The sequence below is a fragment of the Homo sapiens genome, chromosome 19, assembly GCF_000001405.40.
Source record: "Homo sapiens chromosome 19, GRCh38.p14 Primary Assembly".
Taxonomy (NCBI): Eukaryota; Metazoa; Chordata; class Mammalia; order Primates; family Hominidae; genus Homo; species Homo sapiens.
Window position 1 is genome coordinate 41,575,175 of NC_000019.10, and position 24,568 is coordinate 41,599,742.

Below are 24,568 nucleotides of genomic sequence, written 5' to 3' on the forward strand. Positions count from 1 at the left end.
GGTGGGGCAGGGGGAAGTGGGGAGTTATTGATTAAAAGTATGAAGTTTCCATTTGGTATAATGAAGATTTTCTGGTAAAAAATTATGGTGATGGTTGTACAACATTGTGAATAGAATTAGTATCATTTAATTCTACACTTAAAATTGCTAATTCAGTACATTTATCTTATGTATTATACCATATCTAAAGAGATCTTTGGGAAACAAACACTCGCCCTGATCAGATAGTCCTCATACTCATGTACACACCCTTCCTGACCTTCTGTAAAAAGGGATACAAAGATTTAGGGACATGAGACAGTTCAGGCAACTGCAGATCCACAAAATATATGTATTTGCAAAGAGAATGAGAGTTAAGCTGGGGGCACAGACCCCAGACACGGAGAGGGTCCCCCTGAAACCTTCACCAAGGACAGCAGAACCCAGAGCCTCCCACCTCCTTCCATCAAAGTCCTCTCTTCCCAGGACACACAGGACACCTCCCTCCACACCTAGGAGCTGGGGATCCTCCCGAGACCTCCAGGCCTGGGTCTCTGTCCCTGGGTCAGAGGCCAGGCTGGTGACACTGAAGATAGCGGGTGGGTCCTTCCCAGCCATCACCCAGTGAGCCCCTTTCTAGCCCCCAGAGCCACCTCTGTCACTTTCCTGCTGGGCATCATTCTGCCTTCCTGGAGCACTGGAGAGCATGAGGAGACCCAGGGCCCAGCTGGTTTTGTGTGTCACAAAGGGAAATAATCTACCGGCTGTGACAGAACCAAGGCCAGAACACAGCAGAGGTCAGTACTGGGGAGAGTGGGTCGTCCTGTTATGAGGACCCCATCAGCGTTGCTTCTCAAAGTTTTGCCTAGGGAACCAAATATAGGCAAAAAGGAAGGAGAAAGGAGGGACAAGGGAGGCAGGACTGAGAGGGGAGGGGACAGAGAGACATTGTAGGCAGAGCCCCGCCCTTGCCCATAAACGGGAAGTGCTCCTGCCTGAGAGGAAGCTCAGCATAGAGGAAGGAAGGACAGCAGAGACAACAGTCACAGTAACCCTGTCTAGAGCGTTCCTGGAGCCCAAGCTCCTCTCCACAGAGGAGGACAGAGCAGGCAGCAGAGACCATGGGGCCCCCCTCAGCTTGTCCCCACAGAGAATGCATCCCCTGGCAGGGGCTCTTGCTCACAGGTGAGGGGAGGACTCCCTGGGAGTGGGTGGGAGGAGGGAGCACAGAGACTGGCTGGGGTCTCCTGGGGAGGATGGGGCTCTGAGAGGAGACAGAGGGCTTTTGTTAGAGACTCAGGGGAGAGAGCGTCTAAGGAGAACCAAAAAATCTAAGTGAACTGGAATTGCCAAGGGGCAAAACAATCTCAGTTGGTCCATGTTTTCAAGTTCATTGTCAGTGGCCACTACACTTTGAAAATGATAGTAAAACTATATCACAGTGACAATTTAAATAAAAACACCACCAGGGCATGAAACTCTGTCTTCATCTGCCAACCTCAGACATTAGCAAATAAACCCCAGGATATGGAAGGCCCTGGGAACGCTCATGAACTCATCCACAGGAGTCTGCAGCCTGTCCCAGGCACTGGGGTGCAACTAACATCACTCAAGTCCATGCCCTCACAGAGCTCACAATCTCATGGGGGGGAAGACAGACACCCAAAGAGATCTAGAATGTGAGGTCAGGTGCTGACAAGAGCCCTGGAGGGAACAGAGCTGGGAAAGGTCAGAAAGGGAAGACCCAGGGTCTCTAGAGGAGGCTTCACGAAAGAAGTCTCCCAGGGATTCCCTTGTGTGAGTAGGAACTGAAGGCAGTGGGGAGGGAACCATGCAGACCCCTGGGAAAGAGGGTTCACACAAGGAAATGCCAAGGTCAGAGGTACTGAAGGAATGAGGGTCATGCTGCTGACTTTGACCCAGTAGGACACACACACACACACACACCCTCTAAGGCTGAGGGGTGAAGAGACCTGCACCCAGGACCCCGTCTTTCCATGCCAATGCATAGGTCAAATATTGACTGATATTCTCTCCCTTTCCTAGCCTCACTTTTAACTTTCTGGAACGCACCCACCACTGCCTGGCTCTTTATTGCATCAGCGCCCTTTGAAGTTGCTGAAGGGGAGAATGTTCATCTCTCTGTGGTTTATCTGCCCGAGAATCTTTACAGCTATGGCTGGTACAAAGGGAAAACGGTGGAGCCCAACCAGCTAATCGCAGCATATGTAATAGACACTCACGTTAGGACTCCAGGGCCTGCATACAGCGGTCGAGAGACAATATCACCCAGTGGAGATCTGCATTTCCAGAACGTCACCCTAGAGGACACGGGATACTACAACCTACAAGTCACATACAGAAATTCTCAGATTGAACAGGCATCTCACCATCTCCGTGTATACGGTGAGTGATTCCTCCGTGCCTCTGGGTGTTGGGGGTCAGTTCTGCTTCACATACGCAGGATTGTCAGGCCTGGGCTGTGCCTGCATCCCCCTCTGCATTACGTCCCATGTTGGGGTTTGGGCATTTAGTGCAGGACACACCCAGGGGAGACAAACTATAACAGATCAGAATTCCTTTCCCTTATCCGGACTCCGTGGAAATTCCCTACAGCAAGAAGGATAGTCTGATGCGGGAGATGCAGCGGGGGAAAATCAGTCTCAGTCCAACCCCCCTTGGCCTCCTCCTCATAGACATGACCTGAGAAAGATCTTATAGGACTCAGTCAGGGCCTGGCCTGAGGATCCTCTGAGAGAAGCTCAGCCCTTGAAGCCCCTGCCCCAGGCCCCTGTCCCAAGATCCTGACTCCAGATGACCCTGGGGAGCCTGTGCCAGGGCTGGGTTGTGGCTTCCTGGGCAGGGCTGATTGTGAGCAAGGATTTACCAGCTGTCCCAGGGCCGTGGTTCCTAGAGCTGGTCACCAGGCAGGGCTCAGCCCCCAGAGCCCCATCTGGGCAAGGGCAGAGCCTCATCTTTCACCTGAGAGTCAGAGTGGAGAGGACAGACAAACAAACTTCCCAGGCCATTAAACTGGATGGGAAACTTAAAAGATGTCCCGGGAAGTGCACTGTCCTCAGGAGGAGGGAAAGCAGAGAAAAGACACTCTGGACCGCTCCTTCTCCACCAGGAATCAGGCCCAGAGAACTCTTTTTTTTTTTTTTTGGAGTAAAATAATAATAGATGATGTTTATTTGGAGCTATTCTGTGCCAAGCTTTAGGTCAGGTAATTGTAAATATTTTAATGTTAATTTACAGAGAGGATGGCAAGCCAGGGACCATTGACATGTACCCCATTTTATTAAAGAGAAATTGCATCAGCATCACACAGGCTGTCAGTGCTCAACGTCACACCACCGTGTGTCTGCAGCCCAGAATCTGGTCGTGGCCACCACCGTGGGGCATCTGTGGACCCCAGGACCAGATGTTGGTTCAGCTCCTTTCTTCTTGGGCATCCTCAGCTCAGAGAGGGAGATTCTGGTCTGAGGAATGACGGGCAAATGGAGAATTAGTCAGTTTTTACTTAGAACGAAATCACCTGTCTCAACTATCAGACTCAATGCCAGGATTGTCCAAGCCTCTCCCATCAGATCCACATTCCTTCCCTCACTGGACGTGAAATCATGAATTTCTTGATTTGTTGATGTCACTCCCATGGGAGGATGAAGGAAAGGACTCAGCTTTCTCTTCCCACTACACCCTGTACCTGCACAAGGCCCAACTGAGACACACACTCAGTAGTTCTCTGATGAAGGAGGGAGGGAATTAATGAAAAAAGAAAGGAATAATCATAACCTCTTTACAGACTGGGTCCTGGATGTAGGATCCTAGGAGGAGCTGGCCACACCTCTTCCTTGTCCCTTAGGGGCTGAGACCCATGTTCCATTTCTCTGACTGCCTGCTCCTAAAGCCACCCCAGGTATTGCATCTCATGTGACTCTGGGGCCGCTCATCTGTGGGAGGGTTTTCAGGGCTCCCTGGTCCTGGTCTGAGGCAGCTGGGTCCTCCTGGTCCCTGGGGTCTCTGAGGTCACTGTAGTCCCTACTGCTCGCTGCTATGGGTGTCTCTGGTTCTCTCTGCTCCTCCCTGTCCTTCATCTTTCTCCTTTATTCACAGGAGAATGTTCTAAATTTGACTCTGAGATCTCTGAGGATGCAGCATGGCCCCAAGACACTTTCTGTTGGTCACTCTATCCACAGAGTCAGTGGCTCAGCCCTCCATCCAAGCCAGCAGCACCACAGTCACAGAGAAGGGCTCCGTGGTCCTGACCTGCCACACAAATAACACTGGAACCTCTTTCCAGTGGATTTTCAACAACCAGCGTCTGCAGGTCACGAAGAGGATGAAGCTGTCCTGGTTTAACCATGTGCTCACCATAGACCCCATCAGGCAGGAGGACGCTGGGGAGTATCAGTGTGAGGTCTCCAACCCAGTCAGCTCCAACAGGAGCGACCCCCTCAAGCTGACTGTAAAATGTGAGTGACCCTCGGCCCCTCTCACTCCTTTCCTTGTATATTTTCCTAGGAGGGAGGGGGGGTGTAAAATGATACACGGAATGAGAAGGATGAGATTCCTTCAGAGCCTGGGGAGCAATGTGGGTAAGAACTCAGGGATTAGACTCATCCAGTTATCATCCTGGTTACAATAGGTACCAGGTATTTGACCTTGGGCAAGACACTCAACCTCCTGGGCCTCAGTTTCCTCATCTGTAGAATTGTTACAAACACCTGGACCTCAGGGTGGTTGTGAGGATATTTATTCAGAGATTAATGCGATTAAAGCCCTTAACAAGGTCATGCACAGAGCCAGGGCTCAATCAGTGCTATCAATATCGACTGGTATTATTTTTATGAACTTTGTTGTTATTAGCTGTTAAGTTGAGCAGACTTTGGTTACATTTTTGTTGTATCACTTTCACTTACCAGTTCTGTAATCTTAATTGAAGTACTGAATCTTAATTGAAGTACTGAATCTTAATTGAAGTACTGAATTGAAGTACTTCAATCTTAATTGAAGTACTGAAACTATAAGTTTCAGATTCTAAATTGGCAGATGGGATTCCACCCTGTTTGGAAAAACTCAAACTGTGTTTTTCCTCTGCTCTCACTCCACAATAACAATCATCAACACAGACACACTTCTGTGACCAAATGTGATGGGGGGGGGTTTCTCCCACACACCCAGCAGCCAATCAGTTCTGCACCGTACATCAGCTAGGTGTCCTCCAATTCCATCCTGACACTATCTACCTGGACATATCAGCAGAGGGCTCAGTCCCACAAAATTGCCACCACCTTCCCACCAGTCACAAGTCTGGGCCTCCAGAGCTTCTTATGACTGGCTTCACATTGAGGTTTCCATGACTCCCTGTTTGGGTTGGATTAGTTTGCTCAAACAGCTCTCAGGACTCAGGGAAACACATACTTAGGCTTACCGGTTTGTAATAAAGGACTTTACAAAGGATGCAGATGAAGAGATGCACAGAGCATGGCATGTGGGAAGGGGTGTGGAGCTTCCATGCCCTCCCCAGATGCACCACACTCCAGAAACTTCCATGGGTTCAGCTCTTCAAACCCAGTCCTTTTGGGGTTCATGACATAGATATGATTGATTTAATCATTGGCCATTAATTGATTCAATCATTGGCCATTAATTGATTCATTGGTCATTGGTGATTAATTCAAACTCCAGGTCCCTCCCCAGGGATTAGGGGTGAGGCTGAAAGTCCCAACCCTCTAATCCTACCTGGGTCAGTGACCAGCCTCATTCTGAAGTTGCCTAGGGGCTGCCAGTCATCAGTCAATTATTAGCTTGAAAAAGACATCACTTTGAAGATTCTAAGGACTTTAGAGTCACATACCAGAAAATGGGTGTATTAGTCTGTTGGGAGCAAGCCCCCCAAAATCTGGCCATAAACTGGCCCCAAAACTGGTCATAAACAAAATCTCTGCAGCACTGTAACATGTTCATAATGGCCCTAATGCCCAAGCTGGAAGGTTATGGGTTTACAGGAATGAGGGCAAGGAATACCTGTCCCACCCAGGGTGGAAAACCGCTTAAAGGCGTTCTTAAGCCACAAACAATAGCATGAGCAATCTGCATCTTAAGGGCGTGTTCCTGTTGCAGTTAACTAGCCCAACCTATTCCTTTAATTCGGCCCATCCCTTGGTTTCCCATAAGGGATACTTTTAGTTAATTTAATATCTATAGAAACAATGCTAATGACTGGTTTGCTGTTATTAAATATGTGGGTAAATCTCTGTTTGGGGCTCTCAGCTCTGAAGCCTGTGAGAACCCTGATTTCCCACTTCACACCTCTATATTTCTATGTGTGTCTTTAATTCCTCTAGCACTGCTGGGTTAGGATCTCCGCGACCGAGCTGGTCTTGGCTGCTGATAAAGACATACCTGAGACTGGGTAATTTTTTTAAAAATGAGGTTTAATTGACTTACAGTTCCACATAGCTGGGGAGGCCTTGAAATCATGGCAGAAGGCAAAAGGCATGTCTTACATGGCGGCAGGCAAGAGGGCATGTGTAGAGGAACTCCCCTTTCTAAAACCATCAGATCTTGTGAGACTTATTCACTATCATGAGAACAGCATGGGAAGAATCCACCCCCATGATTCAATTACCTCCCACTGGGTCCTTCCCCCAACACGTGGGGATTATTAAAATTCAAGGTGATATTTGGGTGAAGAAGAGCCAAACCATGTCATTCCACCCGACCCCTCCCAAATCTCATGTCCTCACATTTCAAAACTAATCATGCCTTCCAACAGTTCCCCAAAGTCTTAACTCATTCCAGCATTAACCCAAAAGTCCAAGTCCAAAGTTTCATCTGAGACAAGGCAAGTCCCTTCCACCTATAAGCCTGTAAAATCAAAAGCAAGCTTAGTTACTTCCTAGATATAATGGGTGTACAGGCACTGGGTAAATACAACCATTCCAAATGGGAGAAACTGGCCAAAACAAAGGGGCTACAGGCCCCATGCAAGCCCAAAATCCAGCAGGGCAGCCAAATCTTAATGCTCTGAAATGATCTCCTTTGTATCCATGTCTCACATCCAGGTCACACTGATGCAAGAGCTGAACTCCCATAGCCTTGGGCTCCACCCCTGTGGCTTTGCAGGGTACAGCCCCACTCCTGGCTGCTTTCATAGGCTGGCGTTGAGTGTCTGCAGCTTTTCTAGGTGCATGGTGCAAGCTGTTAGTGGATCTACCATTCTGGGGTCTGGAGGATTGTGGTCTTCTTCTCACAGCTCCATTAGGCAGTGCCCCAGTAGGGACTCTGTGTCGGGGTTCCAACCCCACATTTCCCTTCAACACTTCCCTAGCAGAGGTTCTCCATGAGGGCTCTGCTTCTGCAGCAAACTTCCACCTGGACATCCAAGCATTTTCATACATCCTCTGAAATCTAGGCGAAGGTTCCCAAACCTCAATCCTTGACTTCTGTGCACCTGCAGGCTCAACACCACATGGAAGCTGCCAAGGTTTGGGGCTTGCACCCTCTGAAGCCATGGCCCCAGCTGTACCTTGGCCCTCTTTAGCCATGGCTGGAGTGGCTGGGATGCAGGGCACCAAGTCTCTAGGCCGCACACAGCAGGGGAGCCCTGGGCCTGGCCCAGGAAACATTTTTTCCTCCTAGGCCTCCAGTCCTGTGATGGAAGGGGCTTCCAGGAAGGTCTCTGACATGCCCTGGAGACATTTTTGCCATTGTCTTGGGGATTAACATTTTGCTCTTCATTGTTTATGCACATTTCTGCAGCTGGCTTGAATTTCTCCTCAGAAAATGGATTTTTCTTTTCTATTGCATCATCAGGCTGCAAATTTTCCAAACTTTTATGCTCTGCTTCCCTTTTAAACATAAGTTCCAATTCCAAACCATACCTTTGTAAATACATAAAACTGAGTGTTTTTAACAGTACCCAAGTCACATCTTGAACACTTTGCTGCTTAGAATTTTTTTTCCACCAGTTGCCCTAAATCATTTCCCTCAAGTTCAAAGTTCTGCAGATCTCTAGGGCAGGGGCAAAATACCACCAATCTCTTTTCTAGAGTATAACAAGAGTCACCTTTGTTCCAGTTCCCAAGAAGTTCCTCATCTCTGTCTGAGACCACCTCAGCTTGGACTTTATTGTCCATATCACTATCAGCGTTTTAATCAAAACCATTCAACAAGTCTCTAGGAAGTTTCAAACTTTTTTCCTGTGTCTTCTTCTGAGCCCTCCAAACTGTTCCAACCTCTGCCTGTTACCCAGTTCCAAAGTCACTTCCACATTTTCAGGTATCTTTATAGCAGCACTCCACTAGCTGGTACCAATTTACTGTATTAGTCCATTCTCACACTGCTAATGAAGACATACCTGAGACTTGGTAATGTATGAAGAAAGAGGTTTAATTGATTCACAATTCCACATGGCTGGAGAGGTCTCACAATCATGATGGAAGGTGAAAGGCATGTCTTACATGGCAGCAGGCAAGAGGACATGTGTAGGGAAGCTTCCCTTTATGAAACCATCTGATCTCCTGAGACTTATTCACTATCACAAGAACAGGATGGAAAAAACCCACCCTCATGATTCAATTACCTCCCACAAGGTCCCTCCCATAACACATGGGGATTATTACAATTCAAGGTGAGATTTGGGTGGGGATACAGAGCCTAACCATATCAATGGTGATGAACACCAAATACGTATTTCACAATATCACATACCCTTCTCCCTCAAGGCAATGGGAGGGTGAGAAAAGCTGCAGGTAGATTGATTCCCACTGTGCCTTCCATGTGGAAGGCCCCTGAAAACAGTCAATGAACATCATCCCTGCTCATCAGCATTGAGTTGGCAGCAAGGGCCTGCCCTTTACGACTGCCATGGGATGGAAAAAAAGAAACAGGGGGAAGAGGAGTGATGTGAGAGGAAGGAGGGACTAAAAAACACAGGAGCAGGATGAGGTGCAGGCTTCCTGTGGGAGAATGTAGGAGTTGATGCATCCCAGTAATTCAAGCCTAAGACACAGAAAATGGTGCAACCACGGAGAGCAAGGGAGCCAGCTATGAGGACAGCACAACAGACCACACTCAGGCTCCATGGCATTTCCTTCCTCCCTGACCATGCCCCTGCCCTGCAAGGCCCCTCATGGTTCCCCCTGGAACAGATTTGGACCTCATCCCCTTTGCCTTCTTCTTTCAGCAGATGACAACACTCTAGGCATCCTGATCGGGGTCCTGGTTGGGAGTCTTCTGGTGGCTGCACTTGTGTGTTTCCTGCTCCTCCGAAAAACTGGCAGGTACCACAGCTTTTCCCCATTCTGCTCCCATCCTTCACGCTGACCCCAGGCGAGAAGGAAGGAGACCCTGTCTTGTATTCAGTGCCAGGCTCTCCCCAGCCTCCCGACTCCCCAGGGATCCTTCCCTCTCATTCCATGGCACCTTCCTCACCAGCTGCTGACCCTGGGCTGCTTCCTCAACAGCTTTGTCCTCAGTGAATTCAGTCCAATTAAGGCCATGCCCCTGAGCATGGTCCTAGTTTCCTAGCACAGCAAAGCCACAGCTGCCTGGAGCAGGGGGGAGCGGTGCTCAATACCTGGTACCTCCCCCTGTTCACTGAATCCATCCACCCAGTGAGAGGGCATCTGAGGGGGGATCCTGGGCATCATCACATAGTGGAGACTGGAACAGCCTGGACGGGCTGGGTGGGGTCAGCACCCCTTTGACTGACATGGTAACTGCAGACACTGAGCTGTGAGAAGGGAGAACCGGGGCCCCAATATGGCATATCCTGGAATGTCGTTTATGTCTCTTGCCAAAGGGCAGAGACAGAAGACAAGATCATTGTCCCATTTCAGCATCTCCAGCCCTGAGTGGAGTGTCTGGTCACAGCAGGGACACTGAGTTCCAGGAGAATCCAAGATGCATGCAGTCCCCTCAGTGTCCTGCACATGTGCCTGGCCCTGCTTTCCCCCTGGTGCCTTGACCCTTCCTCTCAGGCAACCCCTGGTGGTCTGATTCCTTCCCTGGGTCCTCAGTCCCTTTCCTGTGTCACTGGATCAATGTTCTCCTGGCCCAGCATCTGCCTGAGAGTCCTTCCCCTCTGGCCAGGACAGATGTGGCTTTGTAAGGCCTTTCCTCAACTCCCCTCACCTGGGCCCCTCCTACCACAGAACTCCATAAAGAAAGGAGGTCTCCATACCCCTCTTGGAAATAGGCTCCTTTCCTGGTCCCCTATTTTAACTCCAATTTGTGACTTTTAACCTTGCACCTTCACAAATAACCCTGACCTTTCCTAGGGCCAGCGATCAGAGTGACTTCAGGGAGCAGCAGCCCCCAGCCTCCACCCCCGGTGAGTGTCCCTTCAGTCTGGGTGTGGCTGGGAACTACTAAGCCAGCCCCAAGTTGTCCACTCCTGCCAGTTACACCCAGGGGCCTCTGACCCTATCCCTGGGGCTGCAAAGAGGATCCCATAAAACATCACACAGGAAACCCCAACTGGCCGGGTCAGCCCTAACCTCCGGGCTCTGGGTCATGGGTCACTTCCTCAACCTCACTTGCTTACTTGACCCCTAAAATAACCTGAGAAAGGCTCCCTCTCCCCAATTCTCTAAGAACTGAGGACCCCCACACACTCTTGCAGGAGGGGCCCAGCTATCCTAACACTCTCGTGCTCACTTTTGTCTCTGTCCCCAGGCCATGGACCCTCTGACAGCTCCATCTCCTAGGTAAGACTGTCCGTTCCCAATCCCATTTCCACTGGGGCCCCAGCTGTGCAGGCTCAGGGCAGGGGGACTGTCAATCCCCAGCACAAACCCACCCTACCCAGAATGACTTGGATAAGGTTAGACCTGCCCTGGCCATGAGCTGGGCCTCTGTTCAGGGCCAGGATCATCCACTCCCTGTGCTAACCCCACCCTGGGACCCTCCATCACCTGAGGAGAGCCCTGGAATTCCTACACAGCAGGAATCCTTCCCTGTCCCCTGACACCCCTCTCTCCCCTGCCCAGATTCCCCTACCCAGCACCAGGGCAGCTGCTCTCATCTATGAGGTGAGTGGGGGCCACAGATATTCTGGTCCCTTGGGCCCCAGGGAGACCCAGGATCTGTCCCCACTGGCATCTGGCTGAGCTGAAGTTCAGGAAACTGCAGTGAAAATAACAGGAGGTGGTGAGCAGAGGAGGGAGGGGCCTGGGAGCAGGAACCCCCTGAGCACAGCCAGGTTCAGTCCCAGAGTAGCCCTGGGTGGGCCCAGAGAGAGATGCCAGACCCTGTTCTGAGAAGGCCTCAGGGGTCAAGACCTCTTCTCTGTTTTTACAGGAATTGCTACACTCTGACACAAACATTTACTGCTGGATCGACCACAAAGCAGATGTGGCTTCTTAGGTTCCTCTGGGAGCTGCTCCTGTGGGTTGATGGAGCGTCCCTGAAGCCCCCAGCCCTGGGGATGGGGAAGGACATGGAGCCTGAGCCAGAGAACCAGCTCTGAGTCCTGAGGAGACACAGGCCTGGGGACAGGAAGGGATGGGGGTCCCTGCTGAATATATAGAGACCTCAACAGACTGCCCCGGGCTCTGGGTGGGCCAAGGCGAAGGCTTCCCATCACCACAGGAAGTGGGGGCTTGCAGGGAAAGTGAATGGGCCTATGGCCCACCCGGGGTCACCTGGAAAGGATCTGAATAAAGGGGAAACTTCCTCTCATTGGCTCTTTTTCTGCTCATGGGAACTTAGCAGAAACTCACCTGAAACTCCATGTCCATTCTCTCCTGGGTCACACAGGAAAAATATCTCCACCTTATCTCAACCCCAGTCTCTCTTCCCTGGAAAGACAGGAGTAGGGGGTTAGGAGTCAGGCTGGGGTGGACCCTACACAGGAAAGGGCAGGATTCGCAGGAGTCCTGCCCAGCCAGCTGAGTGCTCAGCTGTCCTCACACTACCCTAGAGACCAAGGCCATGCACAGCCCCAGCCTGGGTCCCTCTGTGAATGCATGAGATGTCTCAGGAGTGCAAAAGTTGGGGCCATCTGATGTCCACACAAAGGTGAGCAATGCAGGAGCATCCATGGGTGGTACAGATCGTGGGTGTGACCTCCACACAGCCTCCAGTGTCCTGAGCCCTCCTGCTCTCTTCACCCAGGCCCTGGAGGCCGTATCTATCACTGTCCCCCAGCAATGAGCTTGCCTGTCCCCAAATCCAGGATCCTGGATGCTTAGCTCTGGCCACCAGGTTCTCCTCTGTCCCAATGGCCACTGCTCAGGAGATCTTTATCCCCGTGGGACACAGAGAGGGGTTGTCAGAGTAACCAAGGTGGGAACAGACCAAGAATTCAGTCCTTGAGCAAGGTCCTCCCAGGCACTACCCAGGACTCTAGCCCCTCATTTCCCATCAGTTCCCAATTTACCCCCTGGCGTGGATCTCACTGAGCAAGCCTCCTCTCCACACAGGAGCGTCCAGGTCAGAGGAGCAGGGTTCCCCAACCTAAAGCTCGTGCAGGCTCCCATGGCGATGGGACAACCTGTCTGCCCCTCTACCTGGACCCACAGGCCCCTCCAGCCCTGCCTCACCTGCAGCTCCTCCACACACCTGGGCCAGCTGTTCTCAGCCCTTCCCTGAGGGCCCTGGGGAGAGTAACGATCTCATGTAGGTTCACTTGGACCAGGTGCTACCTTCCCACAAACAAGCCGGTCCCTCCACTAAAGCACAGAGCCGTGGTTTCCAAGGGTGTTCTGCCATTGTCCAGGGTTGTTGGCCATGAGATAGGAAGTAGGAAAAGCAACCTGCAATATTTACATCAGGATTTAGCTGTAAATGACCCTGGATCCCACCTGCACACAAGGTGACTCCTCTGTAGGTTCCTGTTGAGGCTGTGACAAATTCCCACAAGCTAAGTGACACAGAAACTTGAACCAAGGTGCCCACATGGCTGCGTTCTTTCTGGAGGCTCCAGGGCAGAGTGCGTTTCCTCTCCTTTTCCACCTCCTAGAGGCCTCCTGCATCCTTGGCTGTGTCCTCTTTCTCCATCTTCAAAGCCAGCAGTGCAGCATCTTGACACCGCTCTGTCTTCTGCATCTATCCCCACATCTCCTCCTCCTTCTCTGACTCTCCCACCTCCCTCTCTCATTTGTAAGGAAGGGATTCTGTGATTATGTTGGACCCATCTGGATAAACTACAATAATCTTCCAAACTCATAATCCTTCATTTAATCTGTAAGGTCTCTTACCATGTGACAGATTCACAGATGCTGGGGGTGATGATGTGACATTTTTGAAAAGCCCCTGTTCTGTCCATCACCCCTTTCAAGACCATTTTCTCATCCTTGCTCACTACAAACTGCACATGGGCTCCTGGACAAGGCCATCCTGACTGTGGTGTCAGTTTCTGCAATAATGTCTACAGCAGCTTCAGGGTTATGGGAGAGCAAGACAGAAGTCACTTCAAGATCCTGAACACCTCTCCACCTTCTCATTGTTAATGATGCTCTGTTGTTAAAAGTGAAAGGAGAGCAGAGGTAACTAGAAGATTCTACATCACACTCTGTTCCATAGCTCTTGGTCGTCAGCACCACGGACAGTGTCTCAGGAATGTTCATTCTGAGGTGCTGCAGCAGGAAGGTGGCAGATGAGAACAGACTGCTGGAAAGATGTCCATGTCTAGTTTACAAGAAAAAGACACAACCAGGAACAACGTTATTGCAGGGAAACTTGATCTGCTCTATTTTATATATCGCAAAATTTTTGCATGCATCTGGATGTTGGGGTTCTTGGCACATCTATTGCCATACCCTGCAGAGCTGAGTGCTGCACCCAGGGTGTGGTCTCTGGGAGGCTGAGAGCCTGCTTTGGCCACATGGTAAGTCTCCCTGACCCTGACAATCAGGCCATTTTCTCTGCCTACAGAAGGTGGGAACTTTTCATGGTTAATTTTTGACCCCCGTGCCTGACCCTGGAACCACACACATCACGCTGCCTGGAGCATGCCCTGAGCACAGCATCCTGCTCCTCCAGCCCCAGCTGAGCCCCTGAGAAGCTGAGCTGACCAAGCCCATGGGCTTCTGTACCAGATCCTCCAAGCCAAGCCTTGTCACCCCCATCTTGCTAATTCCTGCCCACGTCACACCCACAGAGAAGACTCTGGTCCTACAGACCAGCGCTGCCCTTACAGAGACTCAGGTCCAGCCTATCCAGTGTCCCTGCTGGGCACACACAGCACTCAGGATGCCCAATTTAAGGGTCATCTGTGGGCTCGGGGGTGGGGAGGTCCTGTAACTTGCATGGGTCAGAGCCCTCCTCACATCCTACATTTCAGCAGTCACCAGGGTCCTCTCTGCCCTGTCCTCACCTTCAATGTCTCAATGACTCACTCAATGTCCTGGGTCATCCTTGTCATCTCTCCTGGACATAGCCACAGCTCCTGACAGGAGGGGTTGAGGCTCTGTCTCTCCATCAGTCCCTCCCACTCTGACCACATGAACCTGGTCAGCCCCATCTGAGCCTCATCCCCTCACCAGGGGCCCTGTGCTCTGGATCCCTGGATACCTGGGTCCTTGTCATGCAAACTTGACAACAGTAATAACCACCAGGCCCTGGCATCCTCACGCAAAGCACATGTCTAATGAGAGACAACTGGCTCCACACACCTTGAGGCTTCACTGCTCAGGGGCATCCTCATCCCTCTCCTCCCACCCCTAGAGATGGTAAGCACCACCAGCCCCTTCCCCCAGACCACAGCCTCAGATCTATTCTGACCCTCTATACAGAGAGGCTCTAGGGAACAGCAGGCACTATGAAATCCCACCGACCCAGGTGCCACCCGCGGCCTCACCCCTCCTCATATCTATGATGGGGACAGACACACATAACACACCTCTGCTCACTGCCCAGTCCCCAAGGTCAATCGCAGTCTGCTTCTCCCCTAGATCCACTGCTCCCCATGTCTTCCCTCCCCAGCTGCAGCCTGGGTGGACTCCCTGCTTTTCTCAGTCCATGAAGGCAGGTTCCAACCTTTGTGTTGTTGCCTGCAATGCCCTCCCTTCTCTTCCCTTCCCTATGAGCGCACACCTGCCCATCCCCCTACCTTCTGGCCAAAGTCATCAGCCACCTGCTCCCCTCAGTCTTCCCCAACCCTGCCCATGGAGGTGACGGTTCCTCCTAGAACACCCACCACTCACTCTTGGCTTTGGGTGGTAATCACAGGTTCTGCAGGGGTCACCTGTGCTCAGGTGTGTCACCTGTGGAACCAAAACTTCTGAGCAGAGGGAGCTGCTCAGGACATCTTAGGGGCCCTGACCTCTGGTCTACCACAGGAACTCAATGCGATCTTGGTGGGACTGTGGTTTAGTCCCTATAGCAACCTTGACCTCATCATGTTTAATGTGCACATGCTCCGACCAGTATCCCACTTCTAAGAGCCTCCCTGAGCTGTGAGCTCTGTGAAGGCAAGACTGTGCCTGTCCTCTCTCTGCTGAAGACAGTGACCAGCCCACAGCCTGGCACAGGATGCTTCATAAACATGCGTTGACTGAATGAGCTCCTGGATCAATACTCCACATGGGGAAAAGACATGTGTATGAAACACTGCAGAATGTCTCGTCATTATGAAAACTGGGAAACAGCCCAGTAACTTAAAAAAAAGATTGAGATGAAGGTCACAGAAAATACCATATGTTTAGGAAACAAATAATAGCAATTCGGGTCCACTGAATCAGGGCAGCCCTGACTAGTGTTCTGTAAGACAAGCACAGGAGAGGGTTTTCTTTACAGGTAATTTCCACAAAAAGTTGTTTTCAGAAGCAGCTCATTGGCTGAGAAGGAATCCTAAATCACAAGTCCATTCCATTCTATGTGCTTAGTTAATTTTAGGGTTCTCCTAGTTGAGATGTTGAAGGCTGGTGAATACTGACTTCAGCTGTTTATCCAAATCTATTGGAACATTCTGTGGTTTGAGCTCTTGCTGGTGAAAGTGCAATTGTCTTGCAATCTCCTGACTCCACTTTAGAAAGCTTTAGCCTTTGTTACTTCATTTTCTGTCACAAGATTCCAACCCAGGAACAGGGGTGTGGACAAAGCATTGAGTGTAGCCATGCAATGAGAAAAAGGGGAGCCAATAACAAACACAAGATAAAATCCATATGTATTGATATAAGAGGTGCCCACCACACATGATTCAGTAGAACAGAATGGTCTGGGCAGGTGTGGTGGCTCATGCCTGTAATCCCAGCATTTTGGGAGGCCAAGGAGGGTGGATCATGAGGTCAGGAGTTCGAGACCAGCCTGACCAACATGGTGAAACCCTGTCTTTACTAAAAATACAAAAATTAGCCAGGTGTGGTGGTGTGCACCTGTAATCCCAGAAACTCAGGAGGCTGAGGCAGGAGAATCACTTGAACCCAGGAGGCAGAGGTTGCAGTGAGCCGAGATCACACCATTGCACTCCAGCCTGGGCAACAGAGCAAGAATCCATCTCAAAAAAAAAAAAAAAAAAAAGAATGGTCTTCAGCAATAATATAATTCAATGGGTATTTTGGCGTAAAACGACAAGTGAGATAAACAGAGTATTATTAAAGAGAGATTCACACCAACTGCAAACAGTGGTAACATCCTGGAAATTTAATTGGGGAAGGGGTGGGGTCAAGGATAAGACACCTTATTTTACGCATGATTAGATTCCTGGGATTTACAATAAATATGATGACTTACATCATTTTTAAAGTAACAGAAGAAACCATTTGAAAAGACTCAGGAGGTGTGTAAGGTCCTTTGGGTCTAGAGCCCAGGCCTCCCTCTATCCCCCACACTTCTGCGTCTCTATCCCCCACACTCTGAGATGGCCCTTTGAAGTCTCCCCATCTCACCCCTCAGAGACAGAGGCATGGAGATCCCTAGGGGGAGGGACCTTGCTGCAGCTCCCAAAGCTGGGGGCAGGGGGCAGAGTGAGGTTCTGTCCAGCCCAACATGCACTGAGTGGGCACCTACTGTGCGCTCCTTCTGGCCAGTGGGATGGTCCCTGGCCTGCAGAGTTTCACCACTCAGTGGATGCTGGGAATGGGACAAAAAAGACCAAACCACCCTGTAGGTCCAGGGATGGCTGGCCTCCCTCAGCAGGGCCCACAGCCCCCCATGGTTCACCCTCACCAAGGTCACCTCAACCCACCTCCTCCTCACCCTCCAAGCTCTGCACACGAACTCTGTCACCTCTTCCCTGCAGCCAGGTGGCCGCCCACCTGAGGCCACTCCCTCTGCAGGCAGCTCCTGCCCCCACACCCCCTCCTTCCCAGGGCTCAGTCAAAAGGGCATCTCCCAAGGCACAGCAACTCAGCCCGTCACAGGCTCTGGTGTCCCCAGTGCTGTCCCCTCACAGCCCTTCTCTCATTATCATTAACTCCTCAATCGCATGAAGTTCACTGAGTGCCTGTTTCCCTGTCACATGAGGTCAGGAGTTCTATACAAGCCTGGACAATATGGTGAAATCCCGTTTCTACTAAAAATACAAAAATTAGCTGGGTGTGGTGGCATGCACCTGTAGTCCCAGGTACTCAGGAGGCTGAGGCAGAAGAATTGCTTGAACCCAGGAGGCAGAGGTTAGTGAGCCGAGATCGTGCCACTACACTCCAGCCTGGGCAACAGAGCGAGACTCCACCTCAAAAAAAAAAAATCCAATTCCAAACACTAATAAAAAATATGGACTTTGGCATGAACCCATGGTAGGGGAATGGGGAGACCAAAAATCCCCTGACTGGGAAAGTGATAGGCTAGTACACTGCTGTCCAATAAAAAGAAAACCCAGGACACCCTCACTGTTTTGTGTTGATCTTTTTTCTTAGGTCTCATCATAACCGTTTTATGAATGTGGGAGCTCCAAAGTTAGGTGCATATATATTTAGGATTGTAATATCTTCTTGTTTGATTGATCCTTTTATCATTATATAGTTGCCTTATTTGTCTTTTTCTTACTGTTGTTGCTTAAAGTCTGTTTTATATGATATAAGGATAGCTATTCCTTCTCACTTATGGTTTCCATTTGCATGGAATATCTTTTATCATCTCTTTACCTTGAGTCTATAAGAATCCTTACATGTTAAGTGAGTCTCTTGAAGACAGCTGATATTTGGTTTGTGATTTTTTATTTATCTTGCCAATCTGTGTCTTTTAAGTGGAGTGTTAGGTCATTTACATTCAATGTTAATATTTGTTCCAGTCATCATGTTGATCGTTATCTACTTTGTTTTCTTATTGTGTTATTGTTTTATAGGCCATTTGAATTTTTTGGTTTCAAGAGGTTCTATTCTGTTCTATTTAAATCTTTTGTTTTGTGATTTAGAAGTCCCTTTAACATTCCATGTAGGATGGTCTAGCCGTGACAAATCCTGAAGCATTTGCTTGCCTGAAAAAGACTGTATTTCTCTCTTTCATTTTGAAATATAATTTCACTCTACACAAGATTCTTGGCTGAGAGCTATTCTGTTTAAGAAGCCAAAAGATTAGGACCCCAATACCTTCTGGTTTGTAAGGTTTCTGATGAGAAATCTGGTGTTAGACTGATAGGTTTTCCTTTATAAGTTAATTGATGCTTTTGTCTCACTGCTCTTAGAATTCTTGCCTTCACATTGACTTTAGATAACCTATGACTATATGACTTGGTTATATCCTTTTTGGCAGTGAATCTCCTGGATCACTTGAGCCCAGGAGTTCAAGACCAGCCCTGGGTAAGATGGCAAAACCCCATCTCTACTAAAAATACAAAAAATTAGCCTGGCCTGGTGGCACACGCCTTTAGTCCTAGCTACTTGGAAGGCTAATGTGGGAGAATCATCTGAGCCCAGGAAGTTGAGGCTGCAGTGAGCCATGACTGTGCCACTTCACTCCAGCATGGGTGATGAGAGTAAGAGCCTGTCTCAAAAAAAAACTAGCTAGCATTTTAGAAAATTTTTCATTTATATTCTGATTGTTTTTTACATTTCTTTATGTTGGTTTTCACCCTTCTCTTGTATCTCTTTGAGTAGCTTAATAATCAAACCTTGTAGGCATGCATTATTCTTTTAATTCTTTTTTCTTTTGTCTCTCTGACTCTGAGTTTTCATATATTATCTCTTCAAGCTCACAAATTCTTTCTTCTGCTTGATCAATTCTGCTGTTGAAAGATTTAGTGCATTCTTCGGTTTGTCAATTGAATTTTTCAGCTACAGAATTTCTGCCTGATTTTTAAAAATTATTTCAGTCTATTAAATTTATCTGATAGGATTCTGAATTCCTTCTCTGTGTTACCTTGAATTTCACTGAACCTCTTCAAATAGCTATTTTTATATGCTAGTTTTGAAGAGGGTCTCAGGGATGAGAGTGGGTTTGTGTGTTATTTTATTTACCCCTCTCAACCGCCATCTAAGTTTATTTCAGAGGAGGATGCTTATCCTCAGAAAGATGAATCAACTTGCCAATGTTGGTGGTGGATCTGGGATTAGAAGTTACATGAGTCTAACATCAGAGGCCATGCCATCATCACTACCACTGAGAGAGAAGTGAACACAGTTTGTTAGGGAGCAGGAAGGAGCAAGGAGGGCTATGGCAGCAAGAGACAATTTTAAAACAGGGAAGTTAGGTAAGGTTACTAAAGAGATACCATATGTTATAAAGCCATGAACACTAGACAGAGATATTCGAACTTGATCTTGTGATTACAAAAGAGCCACTGAAGATTTTAAGTAAGGGCAAAACTATTCGAAGTCACAGCATGAGCCAAGACCAAAGAGGGTAGTGAAATTGGGGCTCTGGATTCCTAAACTAAAGAGATGCTGCCACAACTGTCGTTCACAACAGTGAACAAACCGTGTGATGTGTGGAGTGAGAACTGGACAAAGGCTGAAGCCCTGGGTTTAAATGCAAGAAGTCAGGCACTTAGGGAATGGCTTTGTTAGGCAAGCTGTATATGCTCTCTCTGGACCTTGGTTTGTTTTCATCCATAAATTAGATGCAGTGAGAATTAACCTCTAAATGATCTTCGAGCCTTGCTACTCAAAGTGTGGTCCGCCAACCAGCAGCAATGGCATCATCCAAAAGCTCCTTAGACATGCACAATCTCAGGCCTCACCAGAAAAATCAGAATCTGTATTGAATAAAAAGATCTGTGTGGGATCTGTGAACACATTAAGGTTTGCGAAACACTTCTCTCCATTGTCTTCCATTTCTAAAAGGCAATTATTCCATGCTCACCTCCACTCTGTTACTTCACAGGAGAAACAAGAAAAAAAAAATTATCTGTTCACCTCATTAGTGCCCTTTTCTTAGTCATGACATCCTCTTAGACTGGCTCAGTTCCAGGAAGAGGTTTTAGAAAATACCAGAGAGGCAGTGCTGCCACCCTGTGACCATCGTCAGTAAATGCGCTTAACTCTGACCAGTGTCAACAGCAAAGGAGAGGGACTGCAGATGGAGGTGAAGTCCAAGTCGCAGACTAGATGAGAGAATCACAGCCACCCACAATTACTTAAACAGAGGGACCTCAACCTGCATCATAGAGCAATGTCCTATTGCAAAGGACAGTTTTTATAATACTTAATATGTGGTATTAGTAAGAAACCTGGTTCCAAGCCAAGCTCTGCCCTTGTAACCATAAAAGTGACCCTGACAGGTATTTTCAGACACCCAGCCCTGGCCTGAACTCTGCCAGTAAACATGTAATTTCCCAAAAGACCTTATGTTACTGTGACAGTTCTTTTCCATCCTGAGCCAAAATATACCTGATACACACTCACCAATCCCTGTCCTACTCCCCATAAGCTGAAATAAGCCTAACACCTTTTCATACAACCTACCTTCAAATATTGGTTAAAAAAAACCATGTGCCGCCCACCCCACCTTCCCTTGGCCATTTCCCACATGGGGTCACCTGAAGCCCCACACCCTCTGATCACTTTCCCATGGGGAAGCAAAGTGCAGCAACCACAGCAGGCACTGTGAAACCTAGGGGTGTCCCCCAGGGCAGCAGAGCCACAGGACCCCCATCCCCATCCTGGCACCTCACCCCTATCTAGAATCCGAACACCACATCAGCTGATCTGGGGACGCTGACTTTTCCTGCTTCTGCTGCTGCTCAGTCATCCCACACCTGTGCAGATGTCTACTTTTTATTCCATTTTATTTTGTAAGAAATATTTATCAGAGCCTGCTGTGTACTGTCACTGGAGAGACAAAGATGAATCACACCTGGTCCCTGCCTCGCAGAACTCCAGGCTGTAGAGGGAACACACTCAAAGCCAGACTATTACCGTTCAGTGAGAAACACCGTGACAGACATCAGCACAGGGTTTTCTGATGCATGTTACCAGTGCTTTGTGAAAAATCTTCCACTCTTGGTTTTCTGCACTTAGTTTTCCTCATTTCAAGCTCTAAGTGAAAAAGAGAATACAAATATCCCCAATGGTCCTTTGTGCGGTCACAGCTGGACCCGGCATGTCCTCTTGGCTAATCCAGGGTGTTCAGGGCTCCCACTTCACTCTGAGTGTCCTCTCTCCTATTGGAGCTCACCATTGTCAGCACCTGCAGCAGAAAATCTAGCAAGTCAGGAAACTTGCTTTACTCCTGTAACTTTAAGGCTAGTGACCTTGTGACAGTGAACTAATCCTATAAATCCTTTTCACTTTAATTTCCACATCTGTAAAGTGGGGCAGGTGGATTCAGTCACCCTAGAGACAGCAGCACACCTGATCTTCTCAGCATCCACCATCTAGCAAATATCAGGCACACATTAGGCACTCAAAGCCTCACTGAATGTATGTGTGAATAAATGACTATAATAGAGCCATGTGGATCGTGGACACTATCAACACATATCTTTGAATGTCTATGAAGTACACTTGAGAATGGGGAAAGCAAATAATTGAGGCAGGACAGTGTTTTCTTCTTCCTTCCCCTTACCTCCTTCCTGAAGAGAGCCTTTGTACCTCGGAGAGACTCTGTTGCCAGGTTTCTCTACTGTAAGTTACTATTTGTCCCATTATAATCAATAAGTATCTCCTGAAGTGATACTTTGGGAATATGGAAGTAGCCTGTTTCTTCTCAACATACTTTTTTTTCCCCCTTGGTACTCACTAGTTGTAGCATCATCATACTTTTACCCATTCATATTTAAAGTCCATTGATAATTCTTGCCTACAAACAATTGACTGTGCTGTTAGCCAAATAGTGATTTTCTATTTGATCATTCCTTCTACATTCATTAATTGGAATCCTGCTGTAAGAAAAAGCTGTTTCTTCATCCTTATATATTTATGTATTCAATTATTTATTTATATTAGTAGGAACTCATGGGTATTTATGGGTTGGAATTTATTACTATCATTATTTCTTATAGTGCTCATTTTGTCTCAAAATTGGTCATTCAAAGCTCCTTCTGGTTGGCATCTGTGACCTTTCGACAGATCTCCATTATTTTTCAGCCGGCTCCTTACTTTCTGGCCTCACGAGATGCTCCAGGCTCCGCTTGTGCTTTCCGGCCCCAGCCCTGGAATCAGTTATTTCTCCCAGGAAGCCCTGGTTCCTTTCATGGGAGAATGATGTTTACGACCACGAGCACTACTACACCCATTGCTGTAATAGTAAGTGCCGGTGCCTTCACGCCCTCTAGTGGTCAGTCCTGGGAAATACACACTCACACTTGTGTACTGTTACCCATATTCTACAAATTAGGTAAATGAGGCACAGAAAAGTTAGGCGACTTGACCAACATCACGAGAAAATAGGTAGTGAAACTGCGAGACAGATACACAAGTCCTAATAAGTGGAAGTAGCTTCTTCACACATGCACATCAGCAGAAAGCCACAAGCCCAATATTCCAGCGTAGACACTCTCTTGGGAAAAAATCCAGAATTCCAAAGTATTAACCCTAATGACAACCATCATGTACTGACTACCTGCCTGGGCACTGGGCTCCCACAGTAACACATTTATTCCTAAATATATGTAAATATATAAAACTAATAACTTTATCTTAAATAAATATCCATTTTATATATTATTATATAAAATTTATTATAGAAAACTTTATATAATTATATAAAATATATAGGCCAGGCATGGTGGCTCATGCCTGTAATCCCAGCACTTTGGGAGGCCGAGGCAGCATATCACCTGAAGTCAGGTGTTTGAGACCAGCCTGGCCAACATGGCGAAACCCCATCTCTACTAAAAAAGTACAAAAATTAGCTGGGCGTGGCGGCAGGCGCCTGTAATCCCAGCTACTCGGGAGGCTGAGGTAGGAGAATCGTTTGAACCCAGAAGGCGGAGGCTGCAGTGAGCTGAGATCGTGCCACTGCACTCCAGCCTGGGAGACAGAGCCAGACTCCATCTCAAAAAAGAAAAACTATTATATATACATTTATATATATAATTTATTATATAAAAATGTATTGTATATAAATTTATATTAAATACAATTTAATATGATGATTAAAAGTTATATGTTTATTTTAATACATGTTAGAAGAAAATTTAAGCATATCTCAAACCTGTAATTTTATGGATAATATTGCATAGGACAAAGATGTTTTGTCTCAAATTCCCGTCCTCAAGCAATCCACCCACCTCAACCTCTCAAGCAGCTGAGATCACAGACGTGAGCCCCTGCACCCTACTAGGACAAGGATGTTTTGTAAAGTAAATTTATTTAGGAAAAAGCATAAAGCAAATAATAATAACAGTGGTACAAGCTGTAGAGAAAAATCATAAAATGTCTACAAATGTCTGAGGTTTGCATTTTAGTTACTCCTAGGAAATTAGGGTCACATAGCACTGCAGAAAAAAACAACTGAAAATCGTAGACCTGGGCTTTAGCTCTAGATTTGTCCATTTCTAGGACCCCACTCCCTGGACATCTCTGTGACCTCCCTGCTGGGAGTAAATCCAACCTTCCCAGACATTAGAAAACATGAGGAAAACCTTGCATACCCAGAGGGGTTTCTGTGTCATAGAGAAAATAACACTGAGTTTGGGGGTCCCAGGGACTCTCTGTGAGGTGCTGACAGAGCCAATCCCTAGACACAGCAGAGGTCACTTATGGGGAGCACAGGTCATCCTGTTAAGGGATGGGGGTCCCAATAAGCCTTGCTTCTCACAGCGTGGTCTAAGGAACTGAAATGTAGATTGGAGAAAAAGAGGAAAAGAAGACAAGGAGGCAGGACTGAGAGGGGAGGAGGCGGAAAGGCTACCTGTGCAGATCCTCATTGCCACTTACCTTTCCCCGCCCCCACCCCTGGCCCTGGGAAGTGCTTCTGCCCTGGGAGGAGGCTTAGCACAGAGAGAGGAAGGACAGCAGAGCTGACAGTCACAGTAGCTCTGACAAGAGCATTTAATTTATATTAAATACAATTTAATATAACTATTAAAAGTTATATGTTTATTTTAATGCATGTTAGAAGAAAATTTAAGCATATCTCAAACCTGTAATTTTATGGATAATATTGCATAGGACAAAGATGTTGGCATCTGTGACCTTTCGACACATCCCCATTATTTCTCAGCCTGTTCCTTACTTTCTGGCCTCCTTATTTTCTGAAGCCCAAGCTCCTCTCCACAGAGGAGGACAAAGCAGACAGCAGAGCCCATGGGGCC

The 24,568-nt window shown here is 48.0% G+C and overlaps 1 protein-coding gene across 13 annotated transcripts in view; it reads left to right on the forward strand.

Moving 5' to 3' along the window:
* CEACAM21 (CEA cell adhesion molecule 21) overlaps positions 1 to 11,670 on the forward strand; it is a 37,327-nt gene extending 25,657 nt beyond the window's left edge. Inside the window, exons 1-8 of one of the 13 annotated variants that reach the window (XM_017027430.2) lie at positions 54 to 776; positions 2,026 to 2,385; positions 4,179 to 4,454; positions 9,173 to 9,269; positions 10,269 to 10,321; positions 10,666 to 10,697; positions 10,980 to 11,021; positions 11,290 to 11,670. In XM_017027430.2, the coding sequence (XP_016882919.1) occupies positions 686 to 776; positions 2,026 to 2,385; positions 4,179 to 4,454; positions 9,173 to 9,269; positions 10,269 to 10,321; positions 10,666 to 10,697 (909 nt within the window). In that variant the 5' untranslated portion in view covers positions 54 to 685 and the 3' untranslated portion in view covers positions 10,980 to 11,021; positions 11,290 to 11,670. Of the gene's footprint in view, positions 1 to 48; positions 777 to 991; positions 1,165 to 2,025; positions 2,386 to 3,784; positions 3,899 to 4,095; positions 4,459 to 9,172; positions 9,270 to 10,268; positions 10,322 to 10,665; positions 10,698 to 10,979; positions 11,022 to 11,289 lie in introns of those variants that run through there. The other 12 variants (XM_017027432.3, XM_005278397.5, XM_047439611.1 and 9 more) reach the window with 12 other exon arrangements.
* The last annotated feature ends 12,898 nt before the right edge of the window (positions 11,671 to 24,568 follow it).